This window comes from Homo sapiens, chromosome Y (genome assembly GCF_000001405.40).
Source record: "Homo sapiens chromosome Y, GRCh38.p14 Primary Assembly".
Taxonomy (NCBI): domain Eukaryota; kingdom Metazoa; phylum Chordata; class Mammalia; order Primates; family Hominidae; genus Homo; species Homo sapiens.
Genome location: NC_000024.10, coordinates 25,083,300 through 25,103,492, shown reverse-complemented (window position 1 = coordinate 25,103,492; position 20,193 = coordinate 25,083,300). Strand labels below are relative to the sequence as shown.

General features: G+C 41.2%; 1 long non-coding RNA gene across 1 annotated transcript in view; it reads left to right on the top strand.

Moving 5' to 3' along the window:
• The first annotated feature begins 3,600 nt into the window (after window positions 1–3,600).
• Window positions 3,601–20,193, top strand: part of TTTY4C (testis expressed transcript, Y-linked 4C) — a 36,810-nt gene continuing 20,217 nt past the window's right edge. Inside the window, exon 1 of the long non-coding RNA NR_002177.1 lies at window positions 3,601–3,761. This is a non-coding gene — a long non-coding RNA (testis expressed transcript, Y-linked 4C). The remainder of the gene's footprint in view (window positions 3,762–20,193) is intronic.

The following is a 20,193-nucleotide window of genomic DNA, read 5'->3' as shown; positions in this document are numbered from 1 at the left end:
GTGTTAAAACTTCCAAGTGACAAAAATCAAATTGTGGCCTGGCTGGGAGCAGTGGCTAATGCCTGTAATCCCAGAACTTAGTTAGTCCAAGCCAGGTGGATCATCAGAGGTCAGGAGTTCAAGATCAGCCTGACCAACATGGAGAAACCTCTTCTCTACTAAAAATACAGAGTTCAAGATAAGCCTGACCAACATGGAGAAACCTCTTCTCTACTAAATATACATCAGCCAGAGATTGTGGAACTTGCCTGTAATCCCAGCTACATGGGAGGCTGAGACAGGAGAAGATCATGCCATTGCACCCCAGCCTGGTCAACAGAGTGAGATTTTGTCTCAAAGAAAAAAAAAATCTAGTAGTGGCCAACCTAGAAGTTATTCTTTACCTATGAGGAACGTCTGAGACCCTGGTCTGTCCTATCCTGTGGCATGGAACACGGGCCACACAGAGGATTGAAGCCCTTTCATTTTTTGTTAAATAAAGGCTGACAGATGAAAGGTTGTTCAGACAAATGTGTTAAATAAAAATACTATACTAACTATAGGCTTTTTGCAAGTGGCTGTTGTTATCCTACTAAGCCCACTGACACTGGACTTTCTCCACTTTATGTAAGTCCAAAGTAAAACTCCATATCTCATTCACTGGTTCTGAGTCTATTCTTTGACATCTTGAACCTCAAAACTCACCAAAGCATCAGCTATAGATGCAATTGTTCTCTTTACTACTCTCATTCAAGCCTCTTTTTTCAGATAAACTTTCAGTGGAATACCAAGAAAGATGAACATGAAACACATCGTGGTCAGATGTAAGATTGATGCCAGAATAGGCAGTGACCACTTTCAAAGCAAAAGGGAGCATTTTTCTTTCCCCATGAGCAGCTCTCAACTTCTGTCATCATTTTCTGGTTTCAGTAATGGTTACATCCTGGCTCTGGAGGAACCATTGGCCCTGGGTAATAAACATCTTCACTTAATCCTGGTGCAAAAAAGCTTTCTTTTGACAAATATGTCCTCTGTGATCACGAGCTTCTAAGCAATCTGGACAATGCCCAAACCAAAAAAAAAAAAAAAAAACTATGAAAGAGAGATGAGTAGGTGTTAGGGAAACAACTTTCCACTTTTTTCTTTTGGCAAATTCAAACAATTTTGATGGTAGACAGATGTGCAGAAGAGGACAGCATAGTATAATTCCTCATCACATGAGTTTACAACCAAGAGTTTTCAGTCCTAACTATGAGAGCTCCAGATGAAAACCAGAAGTTACTTCACTGTACATCTATTAATGTCTGATTGCACAGCTTTTTTTTATCATACTGAGGAGCCTTCACTGAGTATTTTTCCATTGAACATGTAGAGATAAACAGGAAAAGATAAAATAACAACTCCATAAATTTATTAAACAAGGTGTAGAAATGTTTATCTTCTCATATTATTACCATTTTCACACACACATAATTGCATGTATATCTACCCATAAAGCTGAAATTTTCATAATAAATCTGTTATATGTCAAGTTTAAATTCAAAAAATATTTTTCAGTCAGTCGTGGTGGCTCACACCTGTAACCCTAGTACTTCAGGATCCTGAGGTGGATGGATCACTTGAGGTCAGGGGTTTCAAACCAGCCTGGTGAAACTATGTCTCCACTAAAAATCCAAAAAAAAAAAAAAATTTTCTGGGGATGGTGGTACATGCCTGTAATGCTACTTGGGAGGCTGAAGCCAGACAAGTTCTTGAATCTGAGATGTGGAGGCTGCAGTGATCCCAGATTGTGTCACCACACTGCAGGTGGAGTGACACCGCAAGATTCTGTCTCAAAAACAGACAAACAGAAAAATATTTTTTCTTTCTTACAACAAAAAGACACACATGTGTTCTAGATATGCCCTGGTGGAGTGGAGTGGGTGTGGAGCCTGTCTTTGTAAAGAAGGAAGAAGGGCCAGTACCCAGGATTATGTGTGAAGGATGAATTGGCACACAAATAAAGGGGCAGCCAGGCCCTTGGCCTAGCAACACTGAAGCTTACAGGTGGCTTCGGAAAGCAGGATAAATAGCCCGTGGACTTAATGCTAGATGGCTCTGTAACAATGAAACATCTGCCCAGGGATCTTAGCAATCCTGCTAGAAGGCCCTGACTATACCCTGGATTGGAGATACCTGAGGTAGAGTGGCTGCCAGAGAGCCTGAGCAAACACCAGTTTTGACCACTATGGCTGGGTCAATCTAAAATAGCTTATCTCTTCTGATTTACAATACAAAATATAGAAAAATAAAGTGAAAAAAGTAAAATCAAGAGAAAAAAATTAAAAAATAAGTTTAAAGTAATTAAAAATAGTAAAGACAAATAAACTGAAACAAAATAGAGAAAAATAAAGAGAAATGTAATTAAGATCAGGGAAAGTAAATAAAATGAAGATGAAGAAAATAAATACAATAAAATTAAGAGAAATAAACAGAAATGAAACAATTTGCAATAGAATAAAATAAAACTTTATGAATCAGGAGAAAAAATAAAAGTAAAAATAAAGATAAATATGGAGAAATAAAATAAAATAATATAAAGGGATAAGAATGGGAGTAAATAAGATAAAAAAGAAATTAAATAAAATGTTTCAAACAAGACACAAATTGGAGAACATTTGAAATGAAGAGACAATAATATAAAAAATAAAAGATAGAAACAAATTTAAATGCATAGAAAAAATGAAAGTAAATAAAAAATAAAAAAGAAAAAGAAAAATATATAGAAAAATAAAAGTTAAAGAGCAAAATAAGACCTGGGGATAATCTACAAAATGTTTCACCCAACAATTGCATAGTACATATTTCTATATACATTTGGCATGTTTTCTTAGATAGGCAAACTTTTAAGCTAGAATGCAAGTTTTAGCATATTTAAACTGACGGTAATCACAAAAAATATTATTTCTGACTACAATAAAATATAACTGGAAGTAAAAACCAAAAGAAAACTAGTATATCTGCATATACATGAAACCTAGACAAATTCTTGAGCATACTATTTTTCAAGAGTTAGAATAGGCAAGTTTCTTTAGATGTTAATTGTTTGGATTCACTCAGGCCGCTGGCAGAAATATTACAGGGAAGTATTAGGAAAAGTTATAAGGAATAGTAACAAACCTTTTTGGCAGGCTAAAAGGCTAAAATTATTATATAGCTTGTAATAATTGAACAGGCTGAAGGCAACCTCTTCTTACCTTAAAGCATTAGGTCATAGGGTAAATACTAGGGACAACTGAGGCTTCTCCAGTTAAGTCTGTTTACTCTACCTCCACTAACTAAGATGGCTCTCTCCAGGGAGTTCGACCAGAGAAATTGCCCCCAATGGTATTTACTTTAGACTGTGGTAACTGAGGTTTAATCATTCACAGAACTATTCTCTTAACAATGTTAATTATCCACAAGTGTGTTTACTCAAAGCTTCTGTGATTAATTCTATACTAAATAAATGCCTGGAGGGTGAGTTGCTCAGGGTGGGCCTCCATTCTTTACAGGACTCTCCGTGGAGTCTGGGAGTGGCCTCGGACCCTCTGCTGCTGGCAAAGCAGGATATCTGTGTGTCAGGTAGTTTATTCACCCATCGCCAGGTCTGCAGTTGGAGCCCATTGTGTGAGGCAGTCTGTGAAGGAAGTGTGAGAACCACCCTCATGAGGAAAGCTGTAGAGGAAGAGTGAGGAATGCGACAGACTCCCTGAAAGCAAAGGTGGAAAAAGAATTCACGTGGTGAAGTCAGTGACTAATCAGTAAGTCATTGGTGCCCACTCGAGGTTACCAAGTTCTGGGAGAAGTTGGGTCAAGCTGAGGTATTCTCATGGGACAACATTTATCAGCTCAACAGAAACAGTATATAAAAGTGTTGAAACAGTTGCTTAAGGCTAGTGGAGCATCAGTTTTGCAGGCTCAATTAGGGGACATAATGCAAACTGTTGTAATCCTGAGAGGTAAAACTGGCTGGGCTTTGGGTGGGGTGGGGACTTGGAGAACTTTTCTATCTAGCTAAATGATTGTAAATGCACCACTCAGTGCTCTGTGTAGAGCTAATCAGGTAAGGGACTTGGAGAGCTTTTCTGTCTAGCTAAAGGATTGTAAATGCACCAATTGGTGCTCTGTGTCTAGCTAAATGTTTATAAATGCACCAATCTGCACTTGCTAAAAACAGACCGATCAGCACTCTGTAAAATGGAACAATCGGCAGGATGAGGGTGGGGACAAATAAGGGAATAAAAGCAGGCCACCTCAGCCAGCAGTGGCAACCCACTCAGGTCCCCTTCCACACTGTGGAAGACCTGTTCTTTTGCTCTTTGCAATAAATCTTGCTGCTACTCAGTCTTTGGGTCCACACTACCTTTATGAGCTGTAACACTCACCATGAAGGCCTGCAGCTTCACTCCTGAAACCAGCAAGACCACAAACCCACCGGGAGGAACAAACAACACTGGATGCACCACCTTTAAGAGCTGTAACACTCACTGTGAAGCTCTGCAGCTTCACTCCCGAAGTCAGCGAGACCATGAACCCACTGAGAGGAACAAACAACTCCAGAAACACCAACTTTAAGAGCTGTAACACTCACTGTGAGGGTCTGCAACTTCACTCCTGAAGTCAGCGAGACCATGAACACCTGAAGGAACAAACTCTGGACACACTGTCTTTAAGAACTGTAACAGTCACCGTGAGAGTCCATGGCTTCATTCTTGATGTCAGTGAGACCAAGAACCCATGGGAAGGAATCAATTCCAGACACACTTTGGTGACCACAAAGGGACTATTGCCTATTGCCAAGCAGTGAGTACCATCGACCCCTTGTGCTTGCTATTCTGTCCTATTTTTCCTTAGAATTCTAGGGCTAAATAGCAGGCACCTGTCAGCCAGTTAAAAGCAACTAGCTTGGTCACTGAACTAAAGACATGGGTGCCAGGCTTTCTGGGAAAGGGCTCTCTAGCAACCCCAACTCTTCGGAGTTGGGAGTGTTGGTTTGCATGGAACTAGCTTCCACTTTCCCTGTACTTCTGGGCTGAGATGAGGGTTGATAGGAAAACCATTCAGCTCCATGGTCCCAACAACAAATTGGTTGACCCTGCAGCCATGGCGGAACTCTTAGTCATGTCGCCCAAGCGAGACTCTCCCATCTATCCTATCTATCCTGAGCCTTGCCTCCTGGGTCCTAAAGCCTGTCAGACAATCTTCCTCTTGCTTCTGTTCTCTGAGGCTAGTCCTGCTTCTAAAAACCACTCCCTGTCTCTGGTGCTTTTCTAGTTTCTCCTGTAAGAACTATTTCTGGTATAAACTCCAGGACTCTATTCCCTTCTCCTGGCACTCAGGCTCAGCAATCAGAAAGAGAGAATTTTTGCCCAAAGCCCCATTTTAAGGGGGACTATCTGGAATTTTAGGATCCCTCCTCAGACAAACAGGCTTAACAAAACCTATTCCTGAAGCTAGGATATGGGACGCCTCAGAAATTGTATCTTTCTTATTCATATAAGTGAGGACAAAAGGCATCACTCTTCTGACTCTGGTGATCTCTTCCCTCCCTCAGGGTATGGCCCTCCACTTCATTTTTGGGGCATAACATCTTTATAGGACAAGGATAAATTCCCAATATTAACAGGATAATGCTTAGGACTCTAACAGGTTTTTGAGAATATGTCAGTAAGGGCCACTAAATCCGATTTTTCTCAGTCCTCTTTGTGGTCTGGGTGGACAGGCAAGGCTGCAGGTTTTGTTGTGGTCCAGGAGGAAAACCAGTGTTTCTGCTGCTGCATCAGTGAGCACAACTATTCTGATCAGCAGGGTCCAGGATCCATTGTGGGTTCTTGGGCAGGTGGAGAAACAAACAAACAAAAAGAGTGGGCCGTTTTCTCTTTCGGATGGGAAACACTCAGGCATTAACAGACCCACTCTTGCAATGCATCCTAAGCCATTGGGACCAATTTTACCCACAAACCCTGAAAAAGTGGTGGCTTATTTTTTTCTGCACTATGGCCAGGACCCAATATTCTCTCTCTGATGTGGAAAAATGGCCACCTGAGAGAAATATAACTTACAATACTATACTGTAGCTTGACCTTTTCTGTAAGAGGTAAGGCAAAAGGAGTGCAATACCTTAAGTCCAAGTTTTCTTTTCATTGAAGGAGAATACAAAACTATGCAAAGCTTGCAATTTACATCCCACAGGAGGAACACTCAGCTTACCTGCATATCCTAGCCTCCCTATAGCTCCCCTTCCTATTAATGATAAGCCTCCTCTAATCTCCCCTGCCCAGAAGGAAACAAGCAAAGAAATCTCCAAAGGAACACAACCCTTCCCCGGGCTATCGATTACATCCCCTTCAAGCTCTAGGGAGAGGGGAATTTGGCCCAACCTTGGTACATGTCCCCTTCTCCCTCTCTGATTTAAAGCAGATCAAGGTAGACCTGGGAAAGCTTTCAGATGATCCTGATAGGTACATAGATGTCCCACAGGATCTAGGGCAAAGCCTCGATCTCACTTGGAGAGATGTCATGCTATTGGTAGATCAAACCCTGACCTTTAATGAAAAGAATGTGGCTTTAGTTTTAGCCTGAGAGTTTGGAGATACCTTGTATCTTAGTCAAGTAAATGATAGAATGACAGCTGAAGAAAGGGAAAAATTCCCTACGGGTTGGCAAGCCATTCTCAGTGTGGATCCCTATTGGGACCTTGACTCAGATCATGGGGACAAGAGTCATAAACATCTGTTCACCTGTGTTCTAGAAGGACTAAGGAAAATTAGGAAAAAGCACATGAATTATTCAGTGATATCCACCATAACTCAGGGAAAGGAAGAAAATCCTTCTGCCTTCCTTGCGTGGCTAAGGGAGGCCTTAAGAAAATATACTGCCCTGTCACCCAAATCACTCAAGGGTCAATTGATTCTAAAAGATAAGTTTATTACCCAATCAGCCACAGACATCAGGAGAAACTCCAAAAGCAAGCCCTGGGCCCTGAACAAAATCTGGAGGCATTACTAAACCTGGCAACCTTGGTGTTCTATAATAGGGACCAAGAGGAACAGGCCCAAAAGGAAAAGTGAGATCAGAGAAATGCTGCTGCCTTAGTCATGGCCCTCAGACAAACAAACCTTGGTGTTTCAGAGAGGACAGAAAAGGGAGCAGGGCAATCACCCGGTAGGGCTTGTTATCAGTGTGGTTTACGAGGACACTTAAAAAAAAAGATCATCCAGGCCGGGCGCGGTGGCTCACGCCTGTAATCCCAGCACTTTGGGAGGCCGAGGCGGGCGGATCACGAGGTCAGGAGATCGAGACCATCGCGGCTAAAACGGTGAAACCCCGTCTCTACTAAAAATACAAAAAATTAGCCGGGCGTAGTGGCGGGCGCCTGTAGTCCCAGCTACTTGGGAGGCTGAGGCAGGAGAATGGCGTGAACCCGGGAGGCAGAGCTTGCAGTGAGCCGAGATCCCGCCACTGCACTCCAGCCTGGGCGACAGAGCGAGACTCCGTCTCAAAAAAAAAAAAAAAAAAAAAGATCATCCAATAAGAAACAAGCTGCCCCCTTGTCCACGTCCACTATGTCAAGGCAATCACTGGAAGGTGCACTGCCCCAGAGTACAATGGTTCTCTGGGCCAGAAGACCCCAACCAGAGGATCCAACAACAGGACTGAGGGTGCCTGGAGCAAGTGCTAGCTCATGTCGTCACCCTCACTGAGCCATGGGTATGCTTATCCATTAATGGCCAGGAAATTGGCTTCTTCCTGGACACTGATGCGGTCTTCTCGGTGTTAATCTCCTGTCCTGGACGACTGTCCTCAAGATCCGTTACCATCTGAAGAATGCTGGGACAGCCTGTAACCAGGTATTTCTCCCAACTCCTCAGTTGTAATTGGGAGACTTTGCTCTTTTCACATGCCTTTCTTAATATGCCTGAAAGTCCCACACCCTTATTAGGGAGGGATATATTAGTCAAAGCTGGAGCTATTATCTACATGAATATGGGGAGCAAGTTACCCATTTGTTGTCTGTGGCTTGAGGAGGGAATTAACCCTGAAGTTTGGGCATTGGAAGGACAATTTGGAAGGGCAAAATGCCTGCCCAGTCCAAATCAGGCTAAAAGATCCCACCACTTTTCCTTATCAAAGGCAATTTCCCTTAAGGCCTGAAGCTCATAGAGGATTACAGGATACTGTTAAACATTTAAAATCTTGAGCCTCAGTAAGGAAATGCAGCAGTCCCTGCAGCACTCCAATTCTAGGAGACCAAAACCCAGTCAGTGGAGACTAGTGCAAGATCTTAGACTCATCAGTGAGGCAGTAATTCCTCTATATCCAGTTGTACCCAACCCCTATACCCTGCTCTCTCAAATACCAGAGGAAGCAGAATGGTTCACAGCTCCGGACCTCAAGGATGCCTTCTTCTGTATTCCTCTGCCTCTGACTCCCACTTTCTCTTTGCCTTTGAGGATTCCACAGATCACACGTCCCAACTTACATGGAACGTCTTGCCTCAAGTGTTTAGGGATAGCCCTCATCTGTTTGGTCAGGCACTGGCCCAAGATCTAGGCCACTTGTCATGTCCAGGGACTCTGGTCCTTCAGCTTGTGGATGATTTACTTTTGGCTACTGGTTTGGAAGCCTCATGCCAGCAGGCTAGTCTAAATCTCTTGAACTTTCTAGCTAATCAAGGGTACAAGGTGTCTAGGTCAAAGGCCAAACTTTGCCTACAGCAGGTCAAATATTTAGGCCTAATCTTAGCCAGAGGGGCCAGGGCCCTCAGCAAGGAATGAAAACAGCCAATACTGGCTTATCCTCACCCCAAGACATTAAAACAGTTGCGGGGGTTCCTTAGAACCACCCACTTTTGCCGACTATGGATCCCCAGATACAGCAAGATGGCCAGACCACTCTGTACGGTAATCAAGGAGACCCAAAGGGTAAATACTCATCTAGTAGAATGGGAACTAGGGGCAAAAGTACCCTTTAAAACCTTAAAGCAGGCGCTAGTACAGGCTCCCGGTTTAAGCCTTCCCACAGGACAAAACTTCTCTTTATATGTCACCAAGAGAGCAGGGATAGCTCTTGGAGTTCTTACTTAGATTTGTGGAACAATCCCCCAACCAGTGGCATACCTAAGTAAGGAAATGGATGTAGTAGCAAAAGGCTGGCCTCACTGTTTATGGGTAGCTGTAGCAGTGGCTGTCTTAGTGTCAGAGGCTATCAAAATAATACAAGGAAAGGATCTCACTGTCTGGACTACTCATGATGTAAATGGCATACTAGGTGCCAAAGGAAGTTTATGGCTATCAGACAACCACTTGCTTAGATACCAGGTGCTACTCCTTGAGGCACTGGTGCTTCAAATATGTACATGCGTGGCCCTCAACCCTGCCGCTTTTCTCCCAGAGGATGGGGATCCAATCAAGCATGACTGCCAACAAATTATCGTCCAGACTTATGCCGCACAAGATAATCTCTTAGAAGTCCCCTTAGGTAATCCTGACCTTAGCCTATATACTGATGGAAGTTCATTTGTGAAGAATGGGATACAAAGGGCAGGTTATGCCATAGTTAGTGATGTAACTATACTTAAAAGTAAGTGTTTTCCCCTAGAGACCAGAGCCCAGTAAGCAGAAATACTGGCACTTACCCAAGCCTTAGAACTGGGAAAGGGAAAAAGAATAAATGTGTATACAGATAGCAAGTATGCTCATCTGATCCTACATGCCCATGCTGCAATATGGAAAGAAAGGGAGTTCCTAACCTCTGGGGAAACCCCCATTAAATGCCACAAGGAAATCATGGAGTTATTGCACACAGTGCAAAAACCCACGGAGGTGGCATGGCACTCTTACACTGCCAAAGCCATCAAAAGGGGAAGGAGAGGGGAGAACAGTAGCATAAGCAGCTGGCAGAGGCAGGGAAAGACCAGCAGAAAGGAAAAAGAGGAAGAGACAGAAAGTCAGAGGGAGAGAGAGAGAGGAAGAGACAGACAGACAAAGAGGGAGTCAGAAAGACAGAAAGAGAGAGATGAAGGAGAAGTCAAAGAGAATGAAAGAGATATGGAAATAGTAAAGAAAAAACAGTATACCCTATTCCTTTAAAAGCCAGGGTAAATTTCTAAATATCTACCCAGCCAAGGCATATTCTTCTCCTGTGGAATGTCAAACTATATCTGCCTCCCCACTAACTGGACAGGCACCTGCACCTTAGTCTTTCTAAGTCCCAACATTAACATTGCCCCAGGAAATCAGGCCCTATCAGTGCCCCTCAAAGCTCAAGTCCATCATTGCAGGGCCATACAACTAATACCCCTACTTATAGGGTTAGAAATGGCCACTGCTACAAGAACCAGAATAGCAGATTTATCTACTTCATTTTCTTACCATCACACACTCTCAAAGGATTTCTCAGATAGTTTGTGAGAAATAACAAAATCTATCCTTACTCTACAATCCCAGCTAGATTCTTTACCAGCAGTGACACTCCAAAACTGCAGAGGACTAGACCACCTCACTGCTGAGAAAGGAGGACTCTGCACCTTCTTAGGGGAAGAGAGTTGTTTTTACACTAACCAGTGAGGCATAGTACGAGATGCTGCCTGGTGTTTACAGGAAAAGGCTTCTGAAATCAGACATCTTTCAAACCCTTATACCAACCTCTGGAGTTGGGCAACATGGCTCCTCCCCTTTCTAGCTCCCATGGCAGCCATCTTGCCATTACTTGCCTTCGGGCCCTGTATTGTTAACCTTCTTGTCAAATTTCTTTCTTCTAGAATTGAGGCTATCAACCTAGAGATGGTCTTACAAATGGAACCCCAAATGAGCTCAACTAACAGCTTCTACTGAGGACCCCTGGACCAACCTCCTGGCCCTTTCTGTGGCCTAAAGAGTTCCCCTCTGGAGGACACTACAACTGCAGCATAATTCTTTGCCCCTATCTAGCAGGAAGTAGCTAGAGAGGTCATTGGCCAATTCCCAACAGCAGTTGAGATGTCCTGTTTAGAGAAGGGATTGAGAGGTGAAGCTGGCTGGGCTTCTCAGTCAGATGGGGACTTGGAGAACTACTTTGTTTAGATAAAGGATTGTAAATGCACCAATCAGCACTCTGTGTCTAGCTAAAGGTTTGTAAATGCACCAATTAGTGCTCTGTGTCTAGCTAATTGGGTAGGAGACTTGGCGAACTTTTCTGTCTAGCTAAAGGATTGTAAATGCACCAATCACGCTCTGTGTCTAGCTAAAGGTTTGTAAACACACCAATCAGCACTGGATAAAAATGGATCAATCAGCACTCCGTAAAACAGACCAATCAGCACTCTGTGAAATGGACCACTCAGAAGGATGTGGGTGACACCAGATAAGAGAATAAAAGCAGGCCACCCGAGCCAGCAGCAGCAACCTGCTTTGGTTCCCTTCCATGCTGTGGAAGCTCTGCTCTTTCACTCTTTGCAATAAATCTTGCTGCTTCTCGCTCTTTGGGTCCGCACTACCTTTAGGAGCTATAACACTCACTGTGAAGGTCTGCATCTTCTTCTTGAAGACAGCAAGACCAATAACCCACTGGAAGGAATCAATTCTGGACACAATCCCAAGATCATGGTTCCCAGAAAAAGGAACACTGGATGTAGTACTCTGAGAACAAGTGGGGATAAATCTTCAACATCAGACACAAAGGCAACAGGTCCCAGCTGTTATGGGCTTTCATTACAGCAGCCCTGTCTCCATTATACACAGAACAGACTATAAAGGGGAACGAGGAGGAAATGTCACCTGCCTTATCACCTCCTCTTCCGTCAGCCCTAATATTACTGAGCCAAAATAACAAAGAAGAAACAGATATTTTACCTGAGCCTTTTTCTTCAATACGTAAGAAAAAGGACCAGGAATACCCTCCAGTTATTAGTCCCTGTCTTCAGCTGGCAGCAATAAAAGGAGAGTTATTAGCCTGCCCGGTAATGCAAAATCAGCCAAGTAATCAGGTACATAAAGGGTTAAGAATAATCACTAAAAGCCAGAGCCACAGGGCCAGGACAAGGAAGCAGTAAGTAGAAAGAAAAACTCCACCCACACTGTGACAGAAGCAACAAAGAGCCAAGCTGCAGCCAGAGCTAGCCTGCTGCGAGTGGAACAGAAGCACACGTGACAAATTCCACCCAGGCCACATGTGTCCCACAGCTGGGGAAGGGAGCCAGCACAGGCAAAAAATGGCACAGGCAAAAATGGCGACTTTATAAATGTAAAGCAGTCACAGCGCCGGGACCTGCCTGCTCCTTTCTCTAACTCCACAGGCTATCCAAGACAAAATCTCATGTGCTGCTTGTTTACAAGCAACATCACAGATTATAGTTCTCAGCTAAAATTTAAGTAAAATGTAAGAATTAGAAAACCTCTTTCTAATAACCTCCACTGTTGTCATCTCTCTTCCACCCTGATGAAGCTCACCAAATTCAAGTAAAACAGTAACGTTTAAAGGTTGAGACATTACAAACAACCCATGAGTTAGTTTAGAAGTAGTTAAAAGCAAACTTTGTTTTTTAACTAGTAGAAAAAAAATTCCTGATTACATGATTATTCATTTTATGGATGATATTTTACTAGCAGCCCCAACGGAGCCAATACCTTTAAATTTGTTTACCTCTGTCATAAGGAATACACAACTGAAAAGTTTAGTCACTGCACCTGAAAAAGTACCCATGTTCCCTCCTTGAAAATATCTTGGATATCTGTTAATCTCCTGGTCAGTAAGACCTCAAAAGTTTAACCTAAGTACTAACAACTTACACACATTAAATGATTAGCAGAAATTATTGGACAATGTTACCTGGATTTCTCCCATTGTTGGAATTCCTACCAATAAACTACAAAACCTGTTCTCTATCTTAAAGGGCAACCCAGCCCTCAATTCTCCCAGATATTTAACCCTTGCAGCAAAAAGGGAAATCAAGGAAATTGAGCAAGCCGTCTTTCAAAGGAAGCTAGATCGCATTGATCCACCGTATTCCAATCAGCTATTTATTTTTTCCACCTAACACTCCCCTACAGGGTTACTAGGACAAATGACTCCCAGGCTATGTTTCCTAGAATGGGTTTTTTGCCCCCATACCGGGACTAAAACACTGTCTCCTTATACTCAGTTAATTACTAAAGTCATCTATTCAGGTCACAAACGTTAAAAATCAGTTGCGACATAACCGATATCATCATGATTCCTTTAAGTAAAGAGCAATTCAAAGCTTCATTATCTTTGTCAATACACCCACAAATAGTTTTATCTCATTACACAGAGCAAATAAAGCACATCCTCCCTGCTGATAAAGTCTTTCATTTCTTATCTCATACTCCGGTAATAATGCCTACAAAAAGAGTTTACTCCCCTGTAACTAATGCTTTAACACGGTTTACTGATGGGTCCGCAAACATGGAAAAGCAGCAGTCTGGTAGAGACCATATAATTCAATCATGCAATCTGAGTTTACTAGCAAACAGAAAGCTAAGGTTACTCTGTTTATTTATTAAAGAAGTTTTACAGCCTTAACTCTATTCTGGAGCCAGGACGGTTTACTCTTTCTCCAACTTCAGCAATTGGCTAGATCAACATACAAGTCCCATTTTTATTACACATATTTGAGCCCACAGCTTACTTCCTAGCCCATTGGCTTATGAGCAGTGATCAAGCAAACCTACAGGTTAAGCCATCACTGCTAGACCAAGCCACCCAATCGCATGAATTTTTCCATCCAAATTGAAGAAACTTATCAACTTACTCAGAGACTGGCTAAATAAATTATCCTACAATGCCCAGATTGCCAGCTCACAGGTAAGTCCCCTCCTTCAACAGGTGTTAACCCTAGGGAAACAGAACTTAACCTGCTATAGCAAACAGATGTTACACCCATACTTGAATTTGGAAAACTTAGATATGTACAAGTATCTATTGATACCAACACTCATTTAATTGCTGTCCAAGATCAGAGAGAAACAGAAAGGTTAAAGAGAGAAATAGAGGGGAAAAAAAAGAAAGACTAGAAAAACCAGAGGTCAAAGTCACAAAAAGTAAGACAAAGAAAAGACATAAAGAGAAAGAAATGTTAAGAAAGTTATAACCATTAGACTGCACCTTTATTAAGGAAGGTTATGAAAGAAATAAAGTTAAGGCATGTTGAAAATTGTCTGTGGAAGTCATAAAAACATTATAAAAAGAAAACTATTCAGGACATGTTGTATAATTTTGTTTTGAAAGTCTAAGCAAGTTTTAAAATGTTAATTGTTAACAAAATTCTCTGAGTAAACATATTGACTAAAGTTAAAGATGTGTCATCCAACAATCATAGACTGGATTAAGAAAATGTGGCACATACACACCATGGAATACTATGCAGCCATAAAAAATGATGAGTTCATGTCCTTTGTAGGGACATGGATGAAATTGGAAATCATCATTCTCAGTAAACTATCGCAAGAACAAAAAACCAAACACCGCATATTCTCACTCATAGGTGGGAATTGAACAATGAGAGCACATGGACACAGGAAGGGGAACATCACACTCTGGGGCCTGTTGTGGGGTGGGGGGAGGCGGGAGGGATAGCATTGGGAGATATGCCTAATGCTAGATGATGAGTTAGTGGGTGCAGCACACCAGCATGGCACATGTATACATATGTAACTAACCGGCACATTGTGCACATGTACCCTAAAACTTAAAGTACAATAATAAAAATAAATTAATTTAAAAAAGATGTGTCATCCAGTTTTTCTGTAAACAAGACATTAAAAGCACAAGTTTTTCTTAAAGCACTAACCTGCTCTTTAACAAAGATTATGAGAGATATCTTAGCACAGACACAATCTCTACAATTTCCAATACACAAGCACCAGCCAAGACACTGCATCCTCATCAAAGGATTAAAAGAAGAAAAAACTCGAGCCAGCCTAGGAGAGACCCTGCAAGATGATGCAGCTTTATCAGAGAAAGATGACTCAGAAGGCTATGCAAATCCTGCTTCTTTTTTATTCTCTCACTTTGTCTACTACCTGTATCTGCCAAGCTCTATTAAGCCCATCTTGTAACCTCCTTTGTTCTACCCTAGTACTTAGACTAACACCCCCTTTCCAGCTTCTAACAACATCACTGCTTAAATAAAAGGAAATCAACATTCCCCCAGTGAGGTTCCTCATTAATAGCACAGAGTGAACTCAGATGGCAAGTAACTCTGCAAGTCACTCTGACTGGAAGAAGTGTTGTTAATTATACTCATGATTGTTTTGTGTTATTTGCTATTTATATGATGCAAAGCTGGAATAAGATCAGTGACCACCTCACCTGACAAACCTATGACTGCACATATCTGTGCTCTGCAATCAAAAACCTGATGCAGAAAAGAACAGAGAGGAGGATTTTGAGATTCACTCAGGAGGATGGCAGAAATATTAAAAGAAAATAATTAGGGAAAGTTATAGGGAATAGTCACAGACTTTTGGAAGGCTGAAAGGTTGCATAGCTTGTAATAATTCAAGGGGCTGAAGGTAGTCGGTTTTAACCTTAAAGCATTTGGTCATAGGGTAAATGCTAAGGACAATAGAGGCTTCCCCAATTAAGTTTTTTTACCCCACCTCCATTAACTAACCTTTAAGCCAGATGGTCCTTTCTGGGGAATGTCAACCAGGGAAATTGCCCCCACTGGCATTTACTTTAGACCGTGGTGCCTGAGGTTTCGTTATTCACAGAACTATTCTCTTAACCAGGTTAATTATCCACAAGTGTGTCTACTCAAAGCTTCTGTTAATAATTCTATACTAAATAAATGCCTGGAGTGCAAGTTGCTCAGGGCACAGCTGCCACTCTTTACAGGACTCCCTTTGGAGACTGTTAGTGGCCCCAGACCCTCAGCTGGACTTGAAAAGCAGAATATCTGTGTGACAGGGTACTTTATTCATCTGTCGCTCGGTCAGGGGTCTGCAAGGGACAGACTCCCTGCAGCTAATGCCCTCATGAAAAGAGTGGTGCCTCAGTTAATGGTATTAGAAATGATCTACAGGTCAATGAGAACTCTTTCAAAGAGCCAATAGTTTTTTTTGTTGTTGTTGTTTTTGTTTTTGTTTTGCAGAAGTAGTAAAATATTCTAAAATGTTTGAGTCAATATTTAGCTGTGTCACCCAGGCTGGAGTGCAATGCTATAATCATGGCTCACCATAGCCTTGACACATCAAGCTCAATTGATCCTCCCACCTCAGCTCCAGAAGTAGCTGAGACTGCAGGTGCATGCCACCATGCTCAGCAAGTTCTTGTATTTTTTGTAGATACAGGGTTTCACCATATTGCCCAGGCTGGTGTCAAACTACTGGGGTCCTGCAATCCACCTTCCTTGGCTTCCCAATGTATTGGGATCACAGGAGTAAGCCCTCAAATATTGCACTATAATTTATGTAAACACTCAAAAACAAACAAAACAAAAAAAGTAGCAAAACAACTTTGGAAAAAAAGAATATACTTAGATAAATACTTTTTATTTCAAAACATATTGCCAAGTTACAGTAATCAAAATAGTGTGGTGCTGGCATAAAGACAGTTAAATCAATGTTAAGGCAAATAACAGAGGCCAGAATGAAACCCACATGCATAAAATTCAGCTTATCTTAAACAAACGTTCTAATTCCTCATGTTGCAGAACGTTCTCCTTCAGCAAAATTGGGTTCTTGTCACATGACTAGGAAAGATTAGGCTCAGGGACACTCCTGAAGGATAAAGAGTAGAGCTGATTGGGTAAAAGAAAAGAAAAAAAGAAAAACTCTCAACGAAGTGAGTGGGAGTCGTGTTTACCAGGCCCCCACTTCACGGATTGCTGAACACCAGACCATCACACAGGAACTGATGAAGCCAGGCTCCTCCTCCCTGCACAAGGGGTAAAGTTTCCATGGCCTTCCAAGCCTCCACTCCCTTCCCCCAGTTTTCAGATGGAAATTATTCAAAGAGAATCTGTTGGAAAAAGGCAGGCTTCATCTAGCACAAGCACTCGATTTTTCAGCCTTCAGGCTGTTTTAGGCTTGAAGATGGGGTTTTGTCCAAGACACTTGGCTGTTTTCTAACTCTGTTATTTTCCACTGTCAATAAGTATATCTAACTGCTGTTAGAATAAGGATAAAGATGAGGACAAAAACCACTTTTAAGTGCTTCCTGATGACAGGGGGCACTGTTGTGAAATAAATGGCAGTCAGTTATTCCTTAGAGGCCTAAGTGTCTCCAGTGAAAGGGGCCATTGTCTCAGCCTATGGTAGTGTGACTGTTTGAAGTTTGATAGCCTGAAGGTGAGGAGAATCAAACTGTGTTACTAAAAAGCACGTATTAAAATGAACCAAGGGAAATGTGGAAGAGACAGCTCAAAAAAAATCCAGGGTTTTCACCAGTTTGCATAGGTAGAGGGAGGCCAAAAGCCCAACAGGAAAAAATAAAAGAAAGAAAGAAAAAGAAAAGAAAGAAAGAAAGAAAGAAAGAAAGAAAGAAAGAAAGAAAGAAAGAAAGAAAGAAAGAAAGAAAGAAAGAAAAAACTTTTACCCTTTTGACGGCATATGAGACTTCTGGGTTCTTTTCTCCTGGGTCCAATCCTAAGCTGTCCAGTTTAATGTTTGGGAAATTAACTCTTCCAAACTTGGAGGATGCATTGAAGAGGAATGTCCCAAAACATGGAGATGTGATTACCTATCTCTAAACAGCAAACGGAGGAGAAAAAATGAAAAGTTAGCATTTTTTCAAAGGAGTTCCAAGGGTTCAGGATGCATTCAAAATGGGTCTAGACTAAAAATGAATGGTTACTTATCTTGAAAGAGATAGAGGAGCAGGAGTCCCTGGCTCCTTTCTCTTCCTAGCAATTACCCAGGGTGTGTTGAGCTATAGGAGAAAGAATATTCTTTTTCCCACTTCAATCCTTGTATCCCCAAGTCCCACTGATTGTAACAGGGTGCCTCCCATGGGTGTCGAGGCAGCTTTCACCAATGTTAACAGGGAGGCCTAAGGGGGTGGATATATCTGCTCTTACACATGTGTACCCTTTCTTCCCTGCTGTCAGTAGCTCTGGAGTTCACTGGACCTCATTTATGGCATGGATAGTAGCATAATCTTTATCCATGAAATCGGGGGCTTGGCTTAATCCCTGGGAATTAGTTATGCTCACCAGCATTGTGCTTTTTTACCTCCATTATCACCTGCCTCTGGATTTCTCAAATTTTTTACTTTTTTCTATGGTGTCAAACAGAAGCTTAGAATTGAGGCTGGGGCAAAAATGTGTCTCAGGGCATTGCATGGACTCTTTATCATGAGCTGAATGCTAAGATGAAGCTGTGGAATTGAGTTCTTCTTCTACAAGGGTGAGAAAAGAATGACTGTGACATACTGAGGAAACTAGTGGCTATAGTTGTGCTTCATAAAATTTAGGTGGGCACCCTATATATTCCCATCACTCTGCAGAATTTGCAGGATAATTGTCCAGAATTATAATGTTAATCCAGATTTTCATGTGTACCAATTCATTTTTGTTTATTGTGGGCTGCAGTTGAAGATCATTAGTGGGGTCACAGAAATAAGCAAGATTGTTCTAAAAAGTAGGCAACAATGCAAAACTTGTGAGTTTAGAATTTAATGACAAATATATAATAAGTTGTGAAACATAAACTTTATCCAGTCCTCTTCTATTAAAAAATAAATCATGATAGGACTGAGTTGTTTGTAAAATAAACTTTATTCTGATACTGGGCCTGATTATTTGCATAAAATGCAGCAAGAATAATTATTTCTAGATAGGTCTTTTACATTGGCTTTGATGGAACTCTGTTCCACAAGAAATTTCAGATGGGACTTTCTAAAGTCAAGCCCAGCCACGGGTTTGTACAATCAGATAATTTTTAGTTGGGTGATTCTCTGCTCTTATGGTCCCAAGATAAACTTGGAGCTCCTGGGCCTGTCAGAAAGTGTCATTATTTAGTTACCACAGATCAGGAACCCTGCTAAAGGACTGTTTAGATGAGGTATAAAGCCAATTTTTCCACTGGGATTTTCTTGGTTCTGCAAGTTGATCTTGACTCCTTAAAGGGAAGCTTATTTTTTAGTCAAGGCCTTGTTCAAACAACCAGTTTCTCCAGTTGTGTTCTGTTGGAAGAGAAATTGGACTGTTATTGCACTGATACAAACACCTATATTGCCACAAGTTAAGAACACTCACAACTATTTTTCGAATTCAGGAGAAGTCCTGCCGAGAAAGGCAAACGTGATCCAAATTGTGCACACATGAGTACACCTTGCTCACATATTAAAGGCTGTAAGTATCTCAAGATGTTTCCTTGACTCTGGTAAATAATACAAGAATGAGTAATGTCTCAAACAAAAGTCAGAAGGGCTACTTCAATTTTCTATTAGTCCGGTCCATTCAGTCAACTCTTCTTTTGTTTGATATTCATACATATTTTAGCTCTTTGAGAGTCCTGTAAGTTTTTCCTGTATTTCAATGTCACAAGCTCCAAAGTTATCGGAAGCCTGCAATTGAGAGCACCTATTAAAGATCTATAGCTGATTAAAAAGCACTTCATAAAAAAATCAAAAAAGGAATAATTATCTGTGTATTACAAAGTGTGCAAGGTAGTTACAGTCAGAAATATGACAAAAATTTTCGTTATCTATATGGTTTGCAATAAATTAACCTAACAACCTTAATTGTGGATGATAGCATATACTTCAGACATTAGAATTTTAGAAATCCCATATAATTTTAGAACATGTATTAGTATTAGTCACCAAAATATCACCTAAAAATATTGAACACCATTTGGCAATTCCGTGTAACTAATCATGCCATATAATCCTGTTTATCTCTCTTGTTGATACTCTATGGGCCCTCTGTAGCATCCAAAAGCTAGAAATAAAGAAAGATAATTTTGTAACTACAGTGTGGTTTTGAGAAGGATGTTACAACTTAGAGGTTTAAAAATCCTGAAATAAAATTCCAGATTTTCCTAAATTACTTATTTAACAAAAATGATGACTTAGAAATGGAAAAGATAATTTTTATAAATTATTTTATAATTCTTTACAAATGTTGGTAAGGAACAGATTAGTGCCTTAAGAGTACCTTGTTGGGCTTTTATTTCAATGTTCAATTTACAAACATCTCACAGACATGGTAATGACTGTCATATGTGGGCCTCACACATAGAAGTATTT